Source organism: Homo sapiens, chromosome 6, assembly GCF_000001405.40.
Source record: "Homo sapiens chromosome 6, GRCh38.p14 Primary Assembly".
In the NCBI taxonomy this organism is placed as follows: domain Eukaryota; kingdom Metazoa; phylum Chordata; class Mammalia; order Primates; family Hominidae; genus Homo; species Homo sapiens.
In genome coordinates, this window is record NC_000006.12 from 25,860,952 (window position 1) to 25,884,956 (window position 24,005).

At 38.0% G+C, this 24,005-nt stretch overlaps 1 protein-coding gene and 1 pseudogene across 2 annotated transcripts in view, besides 1 other annotated feature; both read right to left on the reverse strand.

Annotated features, from left to right (window-relative positions):
• SLC17A3 (solute carrier family 17 member 3) overlaps positions 1 to 13,292 on the reverse strand; it is a 29,388-nt gene extending 16,096 nt beyond the window's left edge. The window contains exons 1-5 of one of the 2 annotated variants that reach the window (NM_001098486.2): positions 13,216 to 13,292; positions 7,346 to 7,469; positions 1,282 to 1,493; positions 845 to 1,078; positions 673 to 760 (exon numbers count right to left, since the gene is read on the reverse strand). In NM_001098486.2, coding sequence (NP_001091956.1) covers positions 673 to 760; positions 845 to 1,078; positions 1,282 to 1,493; positions 7,346 to 7,436 — 625 coding nt within the window. In that variant the 5' untranslated portion in view covers positions 7,437 to 7,469; positions 13,216 to 13,292. The remainder of the gene's footprint in view (positions 1 to 672; positions 761 to 844; positions 1,079 to 1,281; positions 1,494 to 7,345; positions 7,470 to 13,215) is intronic. The other variant, NM_006632.4, reaches the window with a different exon arrangement.
• H2AC3P (H2A clustered histone 3, pseudogene) lies at positions 20,975 to 21,465 on the reverse strand (annotated as a pseudogene).
• Positions 21,282 to 21,796: an enhancer, noted in NCBI's record as "H3K27ac-H3K4me1 hESC enhancer chr6:25882461-25882975 (GRCh37/hg19 assembly coordinates)". NCBI's record gives its function as "activates a minimal SCP1, AML or CMV promoter by ChIP-STARR-seq in naive H9 embryonic stem cells {active_cell/tissue: H9 hESC(naive)}" and the evidence as "EXISTENCE:reporter gene assay evidence [ECO:0000049][PMID:30033119]".

A 24,005-nucleotide genomic window follows, 5' to 3' on the forward strand; every position in this document is an offset into this window, starting at 1 on the left:
GTGTGTGTAGCTTATTTTCTGGACTTGAAGGGTCCCTGGCTTCTTGGTACTCATAAATTACCTGGAGAGTTACCCTTTTGTTTCTCACCCAGCACCCACTTTAGCAGTCTCCTGTTTCTTAACCATACACTGTCCATTTTCCACACTTCCCCAGTATAACTTAGACTTCTTCCTCCAGAATATTCATTCAGAGCACAGTATCCAGGCAGATCATTGTCAGCAAGAAGTTCTCAGGACAATTGAGAGCAACTCCAAAGAAGATTAAGTTGAATCTTGACCTTCCACTGAATAATAGTAAACTCCCAAATGTCAGGAATTAATATATAAAGATAAAACCATATAAACTGAAGAAAAAAAAGCATGGGTGGAGTTTTTTTTATAACCTTTCCATCTATGACTCAAAATCCAGATGCCATGAAAATGATCAATTTGAACACATAAAAATACTTTTTAAATGCTCCAAGTCATAGTAAAGGCAAAGTCATGCCACAAATGACATCCTAGGGAAAATAACTGAAAGTCATGTCATAGACAAAGGACCAGTCTTTTTAATTTAAAAATACTTCACTGACATTGAGCAGATGATGAGGAACTATGCAATGAAAAGTTGTCAAGGAACCCAGTGGGAAAATGTTGGATTGTAGTGTACCCATTTGGATTACATGTCCTTACCTGATAAAGCAATGCTGCAGAGTCTGCTTCGTTCTTGTGGAGGGCCCCACTTTTCCCAAATTGCAAACTGACCCCCAAGTATTGAGGACTGAAATTAAAATGATTAGAGTTCTTAATGTGTGGTGCCATGTAGAAATTCATATCCAACTCAGATTTATAAAATATTGGGTACCTGGCTTAGGCCCTGGACTATTCGAGTTACAATGAGCAAGACTATTCCAAAGTCAGTGGCCAGAGGGATGCATAGAGTGAGAAATGAAGTTGCAAACAAAGAAATGCCAACCACTCGCTTTGTTCCTACTCTTCCAGCCAGGTATCCACTGGGAGCCATTGTCAGTATGCCACCATAGCCAACAGCACCAAAGATGATGCCTTGGATTTGAGGAGACCAGTCATACACAGGAGCCTTAGAGAAACAGAGAATGCTGTAGTAAACCTTACACAAAAAGGTTCTTACATACCCTAGAAAGCTCCTTTAGACCTTTTGCTTGCTTTCAAATCACTATTTTCTCCATTAAAGTTTTTAAACATACATACTCTAGAAAAATAAATATCCAAGCAAATAAACAGCAAAAAGAAAAGCACAAATTTATATCTTATGTTGCTTACCTTTGCAGGAAGACTCTTTGGGGCTTTACTTAGGCCACCAAATGAGTCAACAGGCAGCACCTCAGAGGAATCATTGAGCTGGGATTGAGGGCTTGTGCTGTTGACCATGGCTACCATGGTGATGTTCATGATGACATTTTGTGCTATCGTTGTGAAATTGCAGAAATGTAAGACGAGGGCTATTCCATAGCGAGCAGAACATAAACTTGGAACTGGAAATATTATGACATCATATTAGTGTTTTTTAAAATTGAGCTAACATTAGTTTTTCACAAGATATGATTTAAAAAGTACCTGATCACTTAACGATTTAAATCATTACTTAAATGACACTTCTGTTGGCTTTATGAAAGGAAGATACAAAAGGAGATCACTGAGTTGAGCTAAAGGACGTTTTATACCACAGCTTTGTAGAGCCTAACTTGATCTCGGGGGTTCTGTTCATCCTAGAATTTTGTATCTACCATTCCTAGGTCATTGTGTTCTACAGTTGATGAAATTACTCACAAGTAAATGCATATACATATGTGTGTGTGTGTATATGTAACACATATATATGAAAAGAAAATATATACATATGAATATGTGCACATATTTAAATAGCTACATATAATTTATAATATATTACATATACTTTGTATGTATAACTATATATACATGTATAGCATATAATTTATATGTGACATGTATTGTTATATATTATGCACTATATATTATGTATAATATGTATAAATTTTATGTATGTAAATGAAATGTAAGTTACACTTTGAAGAGAGTTGTCCATTGGTATAGGTCATTTATATTTTTCACTCAAGTGAAAAATAGTGGAAAAAGAAATGAGCACAGCATTCAAATAATCTGTATTTGTACAGCCAGGAAAGATGGCAACTAAAACGCAGAAATCTCATTCTCCGTTTTCCAGATCCTGGCTAAATTGTCCAAAAAATGTAGTAAAACATAGGGAAATCGGCATTTATGGTTGAAATTAAAGAACTCTTCAGAAGTTAAAATCTGGGGAAAGAATCAGATGAGATTGAATGGTATAAAAGTTTCAAAGGTTAGGTCTCTACTCAACTTCTTAAAAAGTCTTGCAACATTATATTAAGTGAGTAGAAGGTATCCTGGCAGAACACAGCTAACAGTCCAATTTGAAGAGCAAATAAAATATAAAATGTATGAGCCAAGAAGCTGTATTTATCTGGGCTCAGATTTATTACACAAGGACTTCAGGCAGAGCAGCTCTTTGGAACTCTCTCCAACCCTTTCACTTTTTTCTGTGTGGGAAGAAAAGGGACTTAGATCAATGAGATTGGGTAAATAAATGGAGCATGTGTACCCTTTCACTTTTTTCTGCGTGGGAAGAAAAGGGACTTCAATCGATGAGACTGGGTAAATAAATTGAGCATGTGTAGCTCTGTATCTTCTCCAGACTGCCTGGAAGCTGTCTACTCTCCTACCATGTAGCTACTTTAGCAGAGCAAGCCTGGGATTGTCCAGTTCACCCTATGCTTGGGTGGATAAATCTATTCAATGCAGGAGAAATAGCAGGGAGCTGGATTGACCACTCTTCTAGGCCACGTCCTCCAGTCCAGATTTGACATCTTCAATCAATCATCGAACAAAACACTCATCAATCACCTCCAATATTGGGCCCTAGAAGTGTAGCAGCAAACATAGCACACAAATAGCCCTGTGTTTGGGGACCTCACATTCCAGAGAGAAGCACAAAATATGAAACACAAACAGTAAATCAAATAATGTATTAGAAGGTGATAAATGCTGTAGAGAAAATAAAGCAAGAAAGGAGGAAGTCCCAATGACATACCAGAGAGGTGGTCATGCTGACCTCTGGGGAAAGAACATAACAAGTAGAGGGAACACCCCTGGAGCTGGTTGGAGAGCGCCTGGTATGTTCAAAGAATCAAAAAGAGGGGATTATGACAGAATGGAGTGAGCCAGGGGTACAAGAAGAGATGTCAGGAAAGCTAGATCATGAGGCCTGAATTGTTCAAGACATGTGGGCCATTGCAGGTACTTTGGCTTTTACTTTGAGTGGGATGGGGGCCACTGGAGGGTTTTCAGCAGAAGGGGGACATGATATGACTTACATTTTGAAAGGATCTCTTTGGCTGCAGAAATGAGAACAAAACGATAGGGAGGAAGTACAGTTAGGAAGCTATTGCAATAATTCAGAAGAGAAGTGAAGCTATCTTGGATTAGGGTCATGGCAGTAGCTAAGATGTGGTCAGACCCCAGATAAATCCCAGCGTGGAAAAAACACCAAATAAGAGTTTCAGTTTTACAGGTGGGTGGAAGGCAAGGAGAAGGGGAGTTTGAGAGGTTCTTGTTCTAAACAACAAGAAGAATGAAGTTCTGCTTTCCTAGGAAGAAAGTTCTTGGAAGGAGCAGGTTTGTAAGGTAGGGTGGTCAAGAGCTTCCTACTGGACTTGTTAAAACAGAGATGCCTCTTAGGCACCAAAGAGAAGATGTTGAGCATGTTGGATATACAGTTCTTAAGTTTAGAAGAGAAGTAGGAGTTGAGGCATAACATTGGGAGTTAATAACCTACAGAAGATACTTAAAGCCATAAAACTTGGGAAATTGAAATAAATAGAGAAGAGAACCAAAGACTAACTCTGGGGCTCTTCAGTGTTTGGAGGTTGAATAGATGGGGGAGGAACAAACAAAGGAAAGTGAAAAGGAATGGGTGGTGGGATAAGAAGAAAACCAGGAGAGTGCGGTGTCCTGGAAGCCAAGGGGACAAGAGTTTCAGGGAAGAGGAAGTCAGTAGGTACTTCAAATGTCTGTGATAGGTCATGTAACATGATGTCAAATCCTCACAATAACGCTATGAAGCAGCTATTACTACTATTTTACAGATGAAGAAACACAGGCACAGAGAGACCAGCTCACAATGTAGCTCATGTGTCTATGCTCTTAACTACTGTAGCACATATATATGGTGGCTTCTGTTTTGTCCAAGATGATTCCATGAGAATACTTCTGTGATTAATACAATCCACGTGCACCCAGCTGTAGGGTTTATGTGGCTCTGTGATGTGGGATAAAGAGGTGCCTTGAGATTAATAAAGGAGGATTCCCCTTATGGCTATGCTATCTTCTATTGATGAAGTACAAGTCTTTGTAGTGAATTAACTGAAACATAGTATCTTTGTAAGGGTTTTTTTCAATCTGATTCAGCACTGGTGGTGACTTCCTCTATCAATCAAGTCAACTAATAATTTGTGAGTTCTTGTGGCCTCTGATTTTCCCAAGTTCCCTTGGGATCCCAGGTGTCAAAAGCTACCAAAAAGGGTATCAGCAAACCAAGAGACTAATGGCTTACAAATGAGGAGGTTGAACATTTGCCTCATGAGAATGTTGAAAGATTAACTAGAGAGTGTATTTAAAAGGCTTAGTCTGGTGCTTGCCAGATGTTAAGTGTTTCCTACAGCCCACTATTTGTGTCCTTAAAAGTTATTTGTGTCCTGTGTCCATTCTGAATGAACTATACCAGTTGTGCCTACTCTAATAGATTGGTGCCAGTGATGTGCTGTCTGTTAAATTTTTTTGTGATCACCCCTAGCTATACAAGAATGTGTGGGTCTGTATGCATGTGAGAAATTGTAAATTAAGAAGCACCTGAGGGTATTCTATTTAACTACTGGAAGAGGGCACTGACACCATGAAATCATAGGTTTTTGAATGTGAGAGGTTATATTAATGAATTCAGTACTACTGTACTCAGAATCCAGAAAGCTTATTTCTTAATTTGATGTGACAGACAGACCTTAAGGTGGCCCCAGTGATTACCACCTCATGGTATCCTCACTTTTATCTAATTCCCTTCCCTTGTATGGGGCCAGGACCTTTCACTTGCTTGTATCCAACAGAATACGGCAAAGGTGATGGGACGTCACCCCCATGATTACATTATGTTATATAAGACTCCATCTTAGCAGACTAAAGATAAACACTCTTCATGTGGGCTTGATGAAGTAAGCAGGAAGTTGGAGAACCTAACACGATAAGGAACCACAAACATCCTCTAAGACCTGAGAATGGCCTTCAGCCAAAATCTAGCAAACAGCCAGAGCCCTCAGTCATACAGGTATAAGAAAATGAATTTTTCCAACAACCTGAATAAGCCTGGAAGTGGGCTCTTCCCTAGTCTATACTGCAGATGAGAATGCAACTTAATCAACCAATCAATTGTAGCCTTGTGAGACCCAGAGAAGAAGAACCAGTTAAGCCAAACTGTGCCTGGAGCTCTGAGCCACAGAAACTGTAAGATAATAAATGTATGTTGTTTCAGACTACTATGTTTATGGTAATATGCATGCAGAAATAGAAAATGAGTACAGTTGGCAAAAAATAATAAAGCCTAGTTGAATGACTATACAAGAATTTTGGGAGGTATTGAAAAATATTTGCATTACAAAATTTATCATGAGACTAAAATGTTAAGACATTATTGTATTGAAGAATAAGAATACTCAGAAAAATCTAAGGAACAATAGAAAAACATCCAAAAGAATCATGCAGTGTGTAAATGGTGTTGTGGCAATTAATGGAAGAAAACTAGATCATGTAATTAGTACTGCTAAGATAATTGGTTACATAAGTGGAAAATACTATTGGTGCAATAGCATGTTTTAAATTAAAATAAAGCATAGATATAATACAATAATACTGCATTTTGTCAAACTGAAGACACCATTGATACATCGTAATTTTTGTTCCACTAAAACTCAATTGATCAACTGATTAACAGATCAAACTGAATAGGTCCAAAACCAAACTCTTGAGCCCTACCACCTCAAAACTTCTACCCAGAGTCTTCCCCAGCTCAGTTGATAGAAATCTCATTCTTCCAAACACTTTGCAATCCTTGATCTGGAATGTACTATGGTCTTCATATTCAAAATGTGTATAGAATCCAACAACTTCTCACAAGGGCCACTGTTATTTTTTGGCTAAGAGCTAATTCCATGTGGTTCTAGTTACCAATATCTCCTGCCTGAATTTCTGCAGTAACCTTCAGCTTGGTTCCTTGCTTCTAATCTATTCTCAATACAGCAGTTGGAGTATTCTCACCATACCATGAATAAAATCACCTCCTCTTCTGCTCAAAATCCTCCCTGTGTTTTTATTTTTGTTTGGATTAAAAACTAACGTCTCTGTAGTGAACAAAGGAAATGAAATACGTAAACTCTTTGCCTCACAATTTTCATTTCTTAGGAATAAACCCTGAAGAAATAATTCCAATGTGGACTAGTGTCATGTTAAATAATATTCATTTATCATCATATATCATAACTTACATACATAGTTCATAAACATCTAATAACCTAAGTAACATATATAGTTCATATATAGATATAATAGCCGAGTAACAAAAGAAAACCCTACAAATTAAATATCCAGTCACAAGAAGATTTTTCAGCTAAGAAATACTTCATCTATTGGATATGTTGGAATATAATGTGTATCCTTTAAGAATCCATATTGCTTTATAAGATTCACAAAGATATTCACACTTTGTGAATCTAATAAAGCAATATGGAAAACTATATGCTGTCAAGTTAGAAAATATACAACACAATACATAAACTATAGAACTATTCAAAATATGCATACAAAATAAAGGCAATAAAATTAAATTATAGTCATTGAATTAAGCTTATGACAATCTTTTTATTTCTTGTTTTTTGAAGTATCTATAATTAGTTTTTTTTACTTTTTTAAATTAAGCAATACAGTTATGTTTAAAATATTACATGCAATCACAAGCAGGACACACAATACTATGTGTAGACAATTCAGTAGCAATTATCAAGAATGTAAAGATTGGATAGATACAGATTGAAAGATAACTGTCAAAAATAAAACACTTCTTTTTAGTAATTTTTATTTCCTTCATATTTGCAAAATATGTTAATTTCACTGGATTTGTAAAAAGAATTAAAGAACTTAAAAATCACAAATTCATTTTTATAGTAATACGTTGACAAAAAGAATTCACTGTAAAATCCTAAAACCAAGCAGTTGAGGTCAAATTTACCTTTCCTGGGGATCAGTGTCTCATCCACTTGCATATCTTGTGCGTTCTTGCTCTCCCTTGCTGTGGGACTCAACTCTGTCTTGGTGGCCATTGTGTTTCTCCTCTCCTAGTGAATGGTTTTCACCTATCAGGGAGATATGTAATTCACATGCATCAGTTGAGAGAAAGAGACTCCCCGTTGAAATATTTAAACAAGGGCACCAAGGAAAAAAAAGCTGGCCCATTCCATCTGGTTGGAGACAGGGAGGCTCATTATCCCCTCTTGGCTCAACACAACAAGCATACTGCACGTAAGGTTTGGAATTGTTTATTTATTAGGATCTAGAGTGCTCTTGGTGTGCCAGTTTATGAGCAATGGCTTTGGAGTTAAGCATTCCCAAGTTCAAACTCAGGTTCATGATTTACTGTGCCAAGTGCCACTAGGAGCACATTTGTGTGTTTCAGTTTCCTCATCTGTTGTTAATAACAACAACATCTTCATCAAAAAGTTGCTGTTGGCTTAAACAGATTGCACATGCCTAGAACACTGCCAGACACCCAATAAGTAAAAGCTGTATAATACAGTTTATTGTCATCATCACTGGAGCTACCATAGCAGTGGGTCACCTCAGAGCTATGCTCCTCTGGAATCCTCTACCTGCACCTGAGAACCTGGCTTCTACTACCCCTGACAACTCCCACACTGCTTCCTCATTTGACTCACTGTAAGTATCGCTGATATGTGTGTCACTCATAATTGGGGACCAAAGTTGCATAGTGAGAAGATAACATTCAAATCTCATATTATTATTGTCCATAGGTTGATGATGTGTCTGTAGAGTTCTAGAAATAACTAACATGGAGGTTGTGACCTTTTTGCATATAAGAGAACTGAAAAGAACCATTACTACATTACAATACTAGGATCTTCAATGCCCAAGGAGATTTTTATGTGTTACTATGTGTAGAATTGTAATATTTGTGCTATGTTTAGTGCTCATATTATTAAATTTATGATTCTCTTAAAGAAAAAGTCTCAAAATATATAACTGCTTCTACCAGTAATAAACCAAACTTGTTAGCTTAATAAATTAAATCCTCTTAAACGTCTAAGCACTAGTACTTAACCACAACTGCCCTGATATCATTGTTGCAAACTAAGGAATAACTTCTTAGTATCTCTTTATAATAAAAGTTTTATTATTCAGAGGTATGTTTTCACCAAGACAGGAGTGACATAAGGACATACCCAAGGCTGGGTAATTTATAAAGAAAAAGAGGTTTAATGGACTCACAGTTTCACACGGCTGCGGAGGCCTCACACTCATGGCAAAAGGCGAAGAAAGAGCAAAGATACATCTTACATGGCAGCAAGCAAGAGAGCTTGTGCAGGGGAACTCCCATTTATAAAACTATCAGAACTCATAAGACTTCTTCACTACCATGAGAACAGTATGGGGGAAACTGCCCCCATGATTCAATTATCTCCACCTGGCCCCACCTTTGACACTTGGGTATTATGTGGACCACAATTCAAGATGAGATCTGGGTGGGGACACATCCAAACCATATCAGGAATTATAAAGTATGTACTCACTTTTCTCCTGGTTTATTTCACTCAGTATAATTATTCTAAAATCCATCCATGTTGTTGTACATATTAATAGTTCATTCCTTCTAATTACTGAGTAATATTCCACCCCATGGCTATATCACAATTTGTTTATCCATTTATTTACCTTTTGATGAAAAACTGCATTGTTTGCAGTTTTTTGACATTACAAATAAAGCTGCTGTGAACATTAATGTACAGGTCTTTGTATAGACATGTGCTTTCATTTCTCTCAGATAAACACTTAGAAGTGGAATACCTGGATCGTATGATAAGTGTAGTATTAATGTCTCTTCAGATCTTGGCATTGGGCATTCTAATTCCATGGTGTGGCCAGTACATTTTAAAAATAGGTCTTCTGTTTCTAGGGAAATTGCCCTGGTTCTATATTCAAAGATTGCCTGGGAGATATTTTACCAAATGACATAGCTGGGTCAACCTGCATTGTTTTGTGCTACATGGCAATGCTAAACAAGAATATGATGTTTCCATTAGCAATTTTTCTCCCTTGAATGATACTTATTCTCACTCCCCTGCTCCTTTATGAGGTGAATTTAATGTGACTCTATTGCTGTGAGACTTTATACCCCCTACTAGGGGCTCTGCTTGGATTGGAACATTCTAAAATGCCAGGTTTCCATTCTGAAGCCACTCCAAGATTATCCTGAATTAAGCAGCAATGGGAGTTGCCCAGATCTATGGCCTCTTCACAGCACATCAGCCTCTGCATTCTTGAACTTGGTTATATGACAGAAAGACTGGGTGCTGCATCATCAACCACTGGCAAGGAAGAAGTGCTTAGTGAGAACCTGATAGTTGCTAGAGGCCCCTACAACATGGACTCATGACTGCCTGAAATGAACTGTATTTCTGTCATAAACAGGATCTGTTTGGTTAAAGTTATACCCTCTTATTTTAGTAACAGGTAGTTGTGTTTGTGAAGCTGCTTTCAACTGACACACAGCATGAAAAACTGATACCATATATGTAATCCAGAAGGGAAAATGAAGGTAAAACTTGAAGATCAAAATGTTGTCTCTTAACAATTGGGTCTGAGTTCAGAAATGATGTCCACATGTTTGAATACGCCCCATGTTAGCAGCCAAGAATGGTGGCTTAAGACTCTGGGTTCTCCACTTTTACACTGTTGGTGGGACTGTAAACTAGTTCAACCATTGTGGAAGTCAGTGTGGCGATTCCTCAGGGATCTAGAACTAGAAATACCATTTGACCCAGCCATCCCATTACTGGGGATATACCCAAAGGATTATAAAACATGCTGCTATAAAGACACATGTACACGAATGTTTATTGTGGCACTATTCACAATAGCAAAGACTTGGAACCAACCCAAATGTCCAACAATGACAGACTGGATTAAGAAAATGTGGCACATATACACCATGGAATACTATGCAGCCATAAAAAATGATGAGTTCATGTCCTTTGTAGGGACATGGATGAAGCTGGAAACCATCATTCTCAGCAAAATATCGCAAGGACAAAAAACCAAACACTGCATGTTCTCACTCATAGGTGGGAATTGAACAGTGAGAACACATGGACACAGGAAGGGGAACATCACACACCAGGGCCTGTTGTGGGGTGGGGGCGGGGGAGGGATAGCATTAGGAGATATACCTAATGTTAAATGATGAGTTAATGGGTGCAGCACACCAACATGGCACATGTATACATATGTAACAAACCTGCACATTGTGCACATGTACCCTAAAACTTAAAGTGTAATAAAAAAATTAAAAAATAAAAAAAAGACTCTGGGTTCTCTGAATTATTGATGTTGGAACAAGTTCTTAGTTTCCCCTTCCTTAGATAACTTAGATGAGGGCTACGTGGCATCTGACTGTTGTCTCAATCCAAGAAATTCAATAACTTCTTGATGGGAAGGATGGTTGGCTTTTTGTTTCTAAGGTTAAATGAAGATCCTAAAAAGAGAAATGAAACAACCAAACAGACATATCCAAGTATGGTAAGTTATATCAGAGGGAAAAATTATGTAAATAGATAAAGGCATGGAAGAACCTGAATTAAGGCAGGGAATTAAAACTATTCTCAGAAAGAATAGTGCACAGTAGGGCAATGATGTACTGGAACCAACTCACTTGGGGCCAAAAGAGCTCATTATTAATGTTTTTAGAAATTTTTCAAGCTAGTTGTTGAACATAGCCATTATCCATTAAATGATATGAATTTAGAGTTCAATTAATTATATTTTTAAAAGGTATTATTTTAACTTTATGACTTCATAATTATTTCATGGCATTTTATTGTAAGCTCCACTCTTGAGGTTTTTTACATCTCTTGTATCTATATGGTGGGAATACTGTATAAAGATGTGCTATTGCACATCTCTCCCCAACTCTGAATTCAGTAATGTCATGATGGTAGCTTGGAATTGGCCATAATACGAGCTTTAACGCCAAAAAAAAAAAAAAAAAGGCAAAGGCTACAAATTTGGGCTTAATTTATTGTTTTATGGACTTCTTGGGCTTAAGAAATTTATCAAACAATGTTCATCTAAGTGTGTGTGTCTGTGTGTGTGGGTGTGTTTGTATGTATACACACTACATATCTATATCCACAAAGACACAAAGACACACACTTACATAAACATATAGAAATAGATATGTAGTATGTATACTACATTCATTACTATATATATGTATATTTTATACATATATATATATTTATATATATAATGAATGCTTTTCAGGCATGAAAACCCTGAAACATGAGTCAGACTTCACTTCCCACTGATTTCCTTTGCAATGATGTGACCTCTTCTGCAAAGCATGGGTACTCTTGCTAAGATGACATCCTTCATACCCAGCCCTGCATCTGCATTGCCACTGCCTCTATTCATCAGTATCATCTCCAGTCTCCACAGACAGGTCAACGTCCCCTGATTCCATACCGATCTTCCCATTTGTCTCCTGACTTTTGAAAATATTAATACTTTTTAAAGCTATCTAAGGTTTCACATGACAGTCTACCACCTGCACACAGCTTGTACCAACACCCTATCTCTAAGTGAACCAGGATGTCACATCTTCTCCTGCCAGCAGGTGTGGTCTACCCACCTCACCATGACAGACACCTACTGCCATGGTAACCTCAAAACATTTCACTGACTTAAAAAGCTGGATTCAAGCTCTGCTGACCCTTCCCACACCCTGGGGCTATAACTAGAGGAAAGAGAAGTAATCTAGAGGGAAATCCCAAGGCACCCACAGGTGAGCCAAGAACAGGCTCAAGTAGCACAACATAGAAAATGCACTCTCATTATCTTCTCTTAAATGTGCCCTTCCAATCAGTCTTATAGCCTGTCTACACCTTGGCTTTACTCAAGTAAATCCCTTTTGTTTTAACAGCTCTCTTTATTTTCCACTAAAAAGCTATGCTGGTTATCTGGGTCAGAAACTATATATTGCACTCTGAGAAGTTTCTGGTCCAAAGCAGTGTTCATAGAGAACCACATTGAGGATCAGCTTTCAGTAGAGATGGTTAGTTTAAAGGCAGGGAGTGTTCTAACAGCATCTTCCCACACATCTGTGAAGTTGCAGCTGCCACAAAAAGTTGTACCTTCTCCATTCTGGCCTTGAGGACTCCCTGATTCCCTCCTTCCCACTGCCCTCAGCCCACCTACCATCTTCTGCTGACTCTGGTGACTGTCCCATTGCCTCATCTCTCCATTTCCTCTTCTATCCCTAGCCATTTTAGTTTGGTTAAATTTCACACCAACTCACTGGATCTTGATGCAGCATTTCTCCAGATGCTTTCTTGGACCAGAGCCACCCTAGCCATTGGTATAATAGAAATAATTATTATTGCCACTCTTATAAATTACTGCACCAGCCAGTCTACATCAATCCCAGATGGAGATATTACTGACCCTCTTCCTCCAGGTCACCCAGTTGGTAAATGAAAGAGATGATATTTGTTCAGAAGCCAGTTTGACCTGCAAAATTTTGCTTTTAAACACCTCGCAAGAGTGCCTATTTCTTGGAATTATCTTCCATAGCTGCTACTGTCTCCACTAGCTAGTTTCAAAGCATATGGATGATCAGATACAAAGCTTCAGCTTCCTGCCACTTCTCCCTCACTTTTGTCAGTCTTGTTAATATGGATTTTTACATTTTTCATTTTTATTTTTATCATATGAGGAAACTTGGGGTTGGGGAGTATATAAAAATTGTCCATTGCTATACAGAAAAGAGTTTTGGAGGTCTTCATCTCAATACCAAGAGAAGTGACTTACCGACTTAATGTCTGTGGAAGGGCTTCAAGTTGAACCCAGCGTTTCCTCCAAGCTTACTCCCTTGGACTTTTTGGAGCAGAGAGATGAGGATTCTTTGCCACCCTAGGGCTTAAGTTGCTAATCATTAATAAAAGTCATCAAACTACAAAGTTGACTCAGAAGGGCTTCTTGCCAAATAGGCTTTGAAGAAGCATTCGGAAATCCAGCCCAATCCCCTCTGCAGTTCTTTCTGCTTTTTGGCTGATGTAAGCTTCTCCACCTTCCCCTTGTGAGTGTCTCCTCAGGACCTCATAGGTGTCCTCTGGTTCAGACACTTGCATATAGCTATTTTGCTTTGCTTTGTGGTGTCTTCAATGTCTTTAGTCTTTTTTGAAAAGGTTAAAAAGAGATAAATTATAATTAAAGAGTTCAGTATTTTTGTGTTTTTTACTTTGCTATTTTTGATTTTCCCCCTTAATTGAAATTTTGTTAATTTTTTTCTTCTTTGAAATATGTGAATTGTAATATTATGGGTAAACTTGAACTTCATTCACTCTGTTGCTTTCTCTTTCCCTGGGTCCTTGTCCTTTTCTCAGCAAACCAAACCAAACCAAACCAAACAAGCCTGGCATAAATATAATATGATTTCTCCATTTTTTTCTATTCTTACTATTTATATGAGTATTCACAAACTATATGTAATAATGCTTTGTATTATTTCTAAATTTGCACACATGCTATCATGTAGCATTTATGGGCCATTCTGTAACCACTTTGGAAAATAAGTGGCATAAATTTGGCATACCTACATGTGCACAGTGAAGGCCAAACTCTTTCAGTTTCTTGTGGTTAACTCTTGCGCTAACACCCAGGAAGTCAAAAGCACTGTCACTGCTTTCCAAGAATGTGTATAGTTCTGCTTGTCCTTGTCTCATAGATGAGGCAAAGCCTTCAGACTCCTAGCTTTCTGTAGTTTATTTCCAGCTCTCTGAATGCCTTGGGTTCATAATCCAGACTCCTTTCTTTATATGAGCATTAGAGTCAGCCATGGAAATTTACACCTTGTTCTGTGCTTTAATGGCTTTCCTGGCCTTAGCTCATACTCATCACTTTGACTTTAAATCCCTTCTTACTTTATGGCCCTGAGGAGATCTCCTTTAGATTCTAAGTTTGACTCTTTATACCTATTTGAACTGTATTGTGAGAGGAGAGTGAGTAAACTACCTCTCAACACCCTGGCTGAGAAGTGGGAGCCTGGCAGTATATATCACAGATCAAGAATTCAGAAGGAGGAACCCGGGTCCTGGGGAGTCAGAGCTACCATTTACTGCGCATTTATTACATGTCATCCTCACAATGCTTTCAGGTAAGTTTTATTATATTCTTTATAACATAAAAGAAAAAAAACAGATTTCTTCCATCTGCACTTTAAGAATTTAAGTATGGAAAATTTAAGCCCGTTATCGTGTGGGGGTAGTGTCAATTTCACCTTTCTAGGTAAAAGATTTTTCCCTGAGTCATTTCTGAAGGACTCTGGACCCTGGGATAAATAATGATCAACTTTGGGATTCACATATCACAGGAAATGTTTCTGACCCTGAATTATCCAAGTCAGAAAACGTTACTTGGTTTTGCAATTTAATGTTTAACTTTATTTAAAGTGCTCCTGAGTTCTTTACATGCTACTTGGTTTGACTTGGTAGAAATAGACCCAAATTGTCTCTGTGTAGAAAGAATAACAATTCAGCTTTTCTTCACCTCTATGATTAAACACTTGAATATGAATTGAGATATTTCCTTGACTTAGGTTGTAATATCCATCTCTTTTAAAAAAAGAATTTTACATTTTCCTTTTGAATAAGATTTATTTTTAAACTGCTTTGTTTTAGCCATGGGGATCATCAGAAAAGATAGAGTACACATTTCTCCTTTAACAGTTATCTTTAGCCAGGCGTGGTGCTTCACGCCTGTAATCCCAGTGCTTTGGGTGGCCAAGGCCAGAGGATTACTTGAGGCCAGGAGTTTGAGACAAGCATGGGCAACAGTGAGACCTCCTCTCTACAAATTTTTTTTAGAAAATTGGCTGGAGATGGAGGACGCATTTGTAGTCCTAACTACTCAGGAGGCTGATGAGGAGGATTCCTTGAGCCTAGGAGTTCAAGGTTACAGTGAGCTATGATCATGCCAGTGCACTCCAGCCTAGATGACACAGCAAGACTCTCTCTAAAACAAAACAACAACCAAAAAAAAAAAAAAAAACAGCTATCTTCAGACTTGTTTCATAAGACTGTGAACATTGTTGTTAATAATCAGTCACATGACAGCTCAGCAGGATGCAGGCTCTGATTCTGGGTTACATTTCAGAGGACTCCAGTGCACAATCCTGTTGTGATCATAGGAAACCTGTCTCTAGTCTTCCTAGAGGAAGCCCAGGATGGGTCCAGGGAGAGGAAGCACCTTTAAGAGTCAGACCTTCCCTCAAAGCTCACAATGTCAGCAGGGATTCTGATGAATCAGGGGTAGCTGTCAAGCAAACACACTGAATGAGCCTAAGTCTTAAAACAGAAGACTTGACTAAATGGCAGTGGTCATTCACTGGAGCTTGGCTGGTTTTTCACACACACTCTGGTCTAAACAATGAACCCATATGTGATGTTATATCTGCTCAGAACCTTACATCTTCATGGTTCTGGCAAATCCTTTTTTCTCCAAGTTCAAGTCAGACTCCTGTTTTGCCTTACCATCTCTATGACAAATGGGGTCAATCTGGTCACTGTAGTTATCAGGCTGACATCATCTGGTCATGGGCTTGGAAGTCCATCTAGAACACTAGTGGAACACTCCATCTCTATTATTTTGTCTTCTATCGCTGAGCAAAATGGTGCATTTTTTGTTATCTACACAATGCATTAACTTATGTCCTAGATTGCCATACTGAAAACACGTCTTACTTTTTTCCTTACACATGTCTGCTTTCTAGTCTACTTTCCAGTTTCGATGCCATTTCTTTCAGCAACTATTTTGCCAGGAATGCCCAGCTAAAACTGCAAAATCATATATTGAGGACAATGGCTATGGAAAAGAAGAAAGAACAATTGTGACAAGTATAATCTCTAGGAGAATACACAAAAAAAAAATCAGGAGTGCTTATGGGCTGAGGTGTTATATGCTTTCAGATAGAATAGTAAACAAAATTGATATCTGTAGTGCATAAAGGATGTCATAATTATCAAGTGAGAAAGTGTTGCATTCTTTAACCAGCACAAGTTACAAAATTATACCATGCTGAATTCATATCAAGACAACTTCACCTACTACCAGGGACTTAGAGTAAATGTATTTTACTTTGTTGAGTCTCACTTGGAGATCATTGAAAAAAATTAGGAATAAATCATGAAACAAAATGAAACCATCCACCATACTTTGCATATAACAGAAAATCAATCAATGAAGGTCATCTGTCATAATTATCATTACCATTATTATTTCTATGACCACCTCTGAGACGTCATGATTAATATTCATGATTGAAATAAAGCAATTAAAAATCAAATTCATTCAAAATAATCAAATATAATTTAATTAAAAAGTTGGAGGCAGTCAGCCATCAGTCAAAAAATATTGTTACTGTATGCATTCCAAAAAGAAATGTAAAGGGATAGCATTCCCTAGAAACAATGAATAAAATAAAATTCCCTGTATTTAATAAACAGCATCTGTAAAACCTACAACAAACATTCCGAAGGTGAATCTTCCTGTTACAATCAGATACATAAAAGAGGTGTTTGCTACATCTATTCACTGGAAGGCCTAACTAGCACAATAACACAAGAAAGAAATGTGAAGCAATTAGAAAACAAGTAAAACTATGATTATTAACAGATGATATGATTGTCTACATAAGAAAACAAAAAAAATCTGTACATAAATTACTTAACTAATGTGAGTTTGGCAAATTTGACAGATGGAAAAGTGATATTCAAAGACTGACTGCATTTTAATTACCAGCCCAAAACAAAAAAAAAGATATTATAAAAAGAGATACAATTCACAATGGCAATAAAAGAATGTAACAGCCACAAAAGGATATAAAACCTAGGAATAAATCTAATAAAAGATGTAGAAGATCGTTACGCAGAAAATTGTAAAGCTTTATTGTAAGGTATTGAAGTCGAACTAAATAAAGAGACATAACATTTTTATGAACAGGAACATTCAAAAATGTAAAAATCTCGTCTCTCCAGACTAATCCATATGCCATTCCAACCAATATTCCAAAATAATTTTCCATATAATTTAATTTACTAAATATATCCTCAAATAAAGATGGTGGTTATCTCTTTCTTTGTAATCATTCTTCTACTCTGCCCCTCACCCCCTTTTCAGAGACTCCTTGTAATAAGGCCTATTTAACACTAAATACGTGCTGAACACTATTCTAAGCACTTTACATACAATAACACTTTTACTTCTCATAGCAAACTTCTATGGTAGGTACTATTATTATGCCAGTTTACAGAGAGGTTAAGTAACTTGCTAGTAAGCTACGGAGTCAGGAATCCAACCACCCAGAAAGTCTGGCTGTTGTGTCCATTCTCTTACCCTCCAGACTATTTCATCTGTTACGCAAACATTGAAACCAACTTTCAACATCAGTTTCCTATAAAATTTCCCTCTCATTATTCTTCCTTTTGTATCTTGGCATTACTGTGAATTTCACCTGTATCAATTTTCTTCCAAATTCCTGAGATCACCTGCCTACCTTCCTTCCCTTCCTTCCTTCCTTCTTTCCTTCTTCCTTCCTCCCTCCTTCCCTCCTTCTCTCCTTTCCTTCCTTCTTCCCTGCTTCATTTTTTTCTTATTCTTTCCTTCCTCTTTCCCTTCCTTTCTTATTTCTTTCCTTCTTCCCTAATTCTAAGGATATTTGTCATTTCTAAGAAAACCTTCCTTTTCACATATCTAATTTTTGTTTTAAGTATGTCAGCATATATTTCTGATATTATTCATTTATTTATGTTAAATATTTATACTAACATTCTTCTAGTTTGGAGAGGGGTTCTAGTTTTTCTGTTAATTTTGGTGCTCTGTCTTGAGGATGTTGAGTTGTACTTGTCTATTGGTTTTTGTTACAAGCGATGGTGTTGAATTGCCAAATAGAAGAATACCTTTCCAAAACTTAAATGTTATTTACTACTGAAGTTCAGGTTAATGAACTTTCTGATTCTGAGAACTTGTCTTAGCAGATGAGGGTGAATGTTGGTTGTGCTGCCGGGATGGGTGTATGAGGTGCTGGCATTTTGAATCTGGGAGCTCCATGTTCTTACCTGAAACATTTTTATTTCTTAGCCCCTAGTGACCACATCAATCACTTAAAGTGTAGCTAGATTGCAAGTCTTAGCTTGGAGAAAAATGAAAAGGGTAATTTCTCTCTTATTCTCCTCTTTTTTATTTTATTTTTTCCCTCTGCCTCCTTTATGAAGGGGAGTTTGCTGCGGCTTGACATGGCTTTTCTCAGCTTCCAACATTTACACCAAAAGCTCTTAATTTGGCTCAGTTCCTTTTGATTCCTCCCTCTCCCACTCAGACTCTTATTTTTCTCTTGGTGCTAAACCAGGATGAGGAGCAAGATCATGTCAATGTTGTTACAAGAGAGGATTAAGGGCCAAACCTATTTATTGGCCTTTGTATTGCAGAGTTTAGTTTTTATTGTACTCAGTTGTGGCTTCTATTTGTCAGACACCTGTGCTTACAAGTGATAGAAGTCCAACTGAAATGGCTTTGGAAGAGAAAGAAAGAGAAAAAGAAAATATGGAGACTGAGGTAGGTCACAGAATATAAGAATGAGCAGCTGTAACAAGCACAGTTCCAGGGACCAGAGACTGGAATTAAATCTCTGCCCCAAAATAAATGAAGACCTTTGGAACTCTTATTTCAGCTGTTCTTTTGCACCTTCTCCCTTCTCTTAAATCTACTCCAAGAGGCAACAGACAAGTCTGTTGGCAGTTTTGGAGTCTCATTCATCACATCCATGAAAGCGAAGAAAAAGCAGCTGTGTTCAAAACCTAGGAGAGGCTCTTATTGGCCCAGCCCAGAGTACTTTATTACCATTTGAACCAATTGTTGCAGCCTTGTGGGTGCAGTGCCAAGTTGTCTGATTGGTCACTCCCATCATCCCAATGATTTTCAACCTACAGGTCATTACTCTTATCAATTTAGCACCTCTTATCAATTTAGCCACTATGGTTTTTTAAACAAGATGGATGAGGCCCAAATAGAATGGAACAGATCATAGTGCATCCCACTTAGTAAGAGTCAGGATTATTTTGTGAAACTTTCGATGCTGCAACACATGTGTTTACATATAAGCCTATATATTAGTATTGCAGCACACTTTAAAAATGTATATTTTTTACTCTAGGTCAGTCATACTCCAAAAGGGTTAAAATTCTTCTCTTTACTGCACGTTTTATGTATTTTATTTCTATTGATAATGCCTCTGATTCCCAGACATAATGCTTTTGGTTGGACTTTCAAAAAGGACGGCCTAGAAGATAATTGTTCAACCATGTAATTGCTTCACTTTTCATTACCCTGTGGGTTTATTGGGCAGCTACATCTATTTCTCCTCTGGACTCCAAAGTCAAAGGTTGTGTTTTGTACGCATGCTTCTTTCTTTACTCTAGGTCAAACTCTATTCCACAGTCCAGTCTGGGAACTGACGTAAGCTTCTAGTTGTTAGACAATGGTAGCCATCAAAGAAACTTAAGGTGATCTAAAGTTAGGTTTAATAAAAGTAAATTTTAGACTAACATCTGCCATATGTACAGATATTTATGAAACCATCTAACCATCAGATTGCGCCAAATGTTCATTCCTAGCAGATGCAACACCATTCCAGAGACAGGATTTTGTTACCCTTAGAGTTAGTATCAGGCAAAAGGAAATCAATCTAAACCAATGCTTTGGACACAAGCTTATCTAGAAATGAAGCCTAGGGTATCCTCCATAAAACTACAGGTTACAGACCTTACTGAACTCTCCAGATCTGGACTCTGCAGAGTCCAGCTTTGGCAGAAATGTGGCTGATAGAGGCCATTACAGGAGCGTCCTTTGGCCTGTAACCCTCTTTTACATCAGCCTGGCTGACCACCCTAGAATGAGACCTCTTGGGAAAGCTGACAGCCCACAGAGTGAAACCTTCAACCAATTGGCACATACATACCTCCCTATAGTAAAATATCTAAAGGCTAAATACAATCTTAAACATGCCAAATAAAAAGCACTAAAGCATGTCCCTTAGGCTTGAAGAAATTAATCATCAGTTGACAAATTCATTATAACTTGATGGCAAATAAAACAGCCCACATGAACAAAACTGTTTTATAAGTGCTTTTCTGGATACCACATAAAAATCTCTTTCACAAAATTATTAGGTTAATGCAAAAGTAATCGCGGTTTTTGCCATTAAAAGTAATGGCTTCCCACAACCAGATGTCCCATGCAAAGTAGTGCCCTCTAATGCCAAACCAAAAGCAGAGGTCATAAAGACTATATCCCTTACACACACACACACACGCGCGCGCGCGTTAAAATAATGGCAAAAACCGCGATTACTTTTGCACCAACCTAATACAGCTTGCATTGAAATCCAGTGCTAAACTCAGCTTTCAGGAAACCAATGTGACATAATATTGGTAAAGAAAACAAAGTGGAGAGTATCAGGGTAATGAATGAAAGGAATGGAGAGACTTTGTTGAAATACTCTTGGGCATTATCTGCCTATGCTTTTACTTGAACTCGTGGCTGGCTTTTGGTTTTACTTTTTCTTTCCCCTCGAAAAGTAGGTCATCTGCTCTGCTGGGCTTTATTATCTGGGGACGTTACTTGCCCTTGGCCTTGTGGTGGCTCTTGGTCTTCTGGGGCAGAAGCACGCCCTGAATGTTGGGCAGGACACCGCCCTGCGCGATGGTGACTTCGCCCAGCAGCTTGTTAAGCTCCTCGCCGTTGCGAATGGCCAGCTACAGGTGGCGCAGGATGATGCGGGTCTTCTTGTCGCGGGCCGGGTTGCCAGCCAGCTCCAGGATCTCGGCGGTCAGGTGCTCCAGCACGGCCGCCAGGTACACCTGCGCTCTGGCCCCGACACGCTCGGCATAGATGCCTTTGCGGAGCAGACGGCGCTGGAGCCCGGCCAGGGAAGACCAAGTCTGGGACTTCAGCGCCAGCCTCGCCACCCTGCTTCCCACAACCAGATGTCTCCTGCGAAGTAGCCCCCTCTAATGCCAAACCAAAAGCAGAGGTCATAAGGACTATATCCCTTACACACACACACACACACACACACACACCCTAACGGCTAACTTCTCTGGAAGGTGCCTCATCCAAGCAAAGCAGAACTGAAGATACTTTTACATGCCTTTTTCCGTTATTTTTTATCCAATCAGACTTTTTCAGACTTCCTTTGAATACAAGTATCTGCAGGATTTTCCTTGTCACCTGTAGACACTTTTTCTCTTTTCAAGGAAGCTAGAAACAGATTTTGATATGCCTAAAGTTTTGAAGTGTTCTACAATCTCTAGAAAGGGCTCCAAGAAAGCCATATGTAATATGCATTTTTTGTATAATTTGAGAATATTTATTTCCTCTATAGAGAGCAAGAAAATGAATGGGAAGTGGATGTATGAAAGTCATGTGTTATGTATTCATGGAAATTAATAAGTATATCATACATAGGTTAAGAAATGGGAGGACAAAGAGATAACTATATTCATGAGGCCTGAAATAAACAAGACACCTGGGCACAAGATACTTATGATATACTAAATATACAGCTAACACTAGATATCCAGGGTACACTGAAGGTTATACAAGCACCCAGTATTTTCAAGGCCTTGATTCAGCCACCTACTGGGGACACCCATTCTGTCACCATGTGTTCTCTGTTCAAGAAACACACTACTATTCAGCCTTTAACAATAAGGAAGTCATGCTGTTTGTGAAAACATGGGTGAACCCAAGGAACATTAGGGTAAGCAAAAAACAAAACAAAACAACAACAACAACAAAAAAAAACAGGCACAGAAATGCAAACACTACATCATCTCACTTGTATATGGAATCTAAGTATATCAAACTTATAGAAGCAGAGAGGAGAACAGAGGTTACCAAACGTTACGGGTTGGGGAAATGTTGGTCAAAGCACACAAAATTTTAGTTAGACAGGAGGAATAAGTTCGGTTCAGGAGATCTATTGTAAAACATGGTGACTGTAATTAATACAATGTATTGTATACTTGAAAATTGCTATGAGAGTAGATTTTAAACGTTCTCACTACAAAAAGAAACGTATGTGAGGTAATGGATAATTATCTTGATTTAGCTGTTCTACAGTGTATACATATATCAAAACATCATGTTGTACAACATAAATATATATATATACAAGATTTATTTGTCAATTTAAAAAAAGAAATAAATAAAACCCATGGCTGTTTAGCATGTCTTTCTCATAGAGCAAGTGTGTGTCATTATCCTCTCCTACGGCACTTCCTGTCTGTGGGATCCCTTGCTGGAATCTCAGTGCTAGTCCTTGTAATCATACCATTAGCTGGGAAAGTTAATGTGGCAGGGAAAGACAGGATGTTGGCACATTCTGTACTTCCAGGTCAGCACTATGGTCCTACCATCTTGCTTGCTCCCTATTCTAAGTATGTAAAATTATGCTATCTTTTTCCCTTGCTTCTTGCAGTGGATTTTAAATTTATTTAACCAACCATGCATATCTATCATCTTTATTTGGCCTGTGAGATTTTCTGTTCCATAGGTGGCCTGCCTCCTTATAGCAAACTTGGAAGCTCCATTGCATCAGAATATTTTCCAACAGGATGCCAGGGTTAAGATCAAGAAAGACGAGAGAAATAGAAGTTCTGCTGCTCAGAGACTCTAAGTGAACAACTAGTAATCTTGTAGGATGTTGAAACAGATACACTGGCATCTGACCCAAGGCCATGTGAATCATAAATTCCTTTTGCAATGGCATCCTCGAGTGGATCACTGGTAAGGCCTCCCATCTGGCCCATTGTAACAGATGATTGACCATACCTCCAGGCAGTTCAAAAGGCCAAATGCTTCCTACTGCCTGGGGTGCTGGCCAAGAACACTATTGGCCAATACCAAGTACACTAGCTGCCAGTGAGTTCCTTTTATCAGACTTGAACATCATATACCAAAGACAGTTTCAGAACTACCTTGGTTTTTAAAATTAGAGTTCTAGTTAATGTTTTTGCTAATAATATATTGGTTGTGTTAGTAATTAATAATTCATGGATTGTGAATCACCCAATCAAGTAGTACATTAACACAGCAGGAGGTGGGGGAGAAATTTTAAATTTCTCTCAACTTTAACATGTTTTCTTATGTGGTTTGCTTTCTTTAGTGGTTTGTTTTTAAGATTATAGAGTACTGTGTGCATGTGCTCTAATGTACCACTTATGAAGTGACAGCCTCTGTTCCTTTGCTTTTTCATTAAAGTCTTTAAATATCATTTTGTGCTCTGTTTGAAGTTTAAATATCATCTTCATAATGTTCTCAACCTCTTATGGTATCTTGGTTTAATCTGTTTCCTAATTTGCTAGTCCAACTCCTTCTCCATAATTTTTAAAATAATTTTTCCAATTTACTAAGATTTTGAATCAGTCCTGGAGACACTGGTCCCTAAATCTAAGTGCCATGTTTTCCAGGATCACTTTTCTTTTCCAGGTCAGATAATTCCTGCTCAAGCTAGGGTTCACTCAAAAAGGCAGCTTCTGACAGCA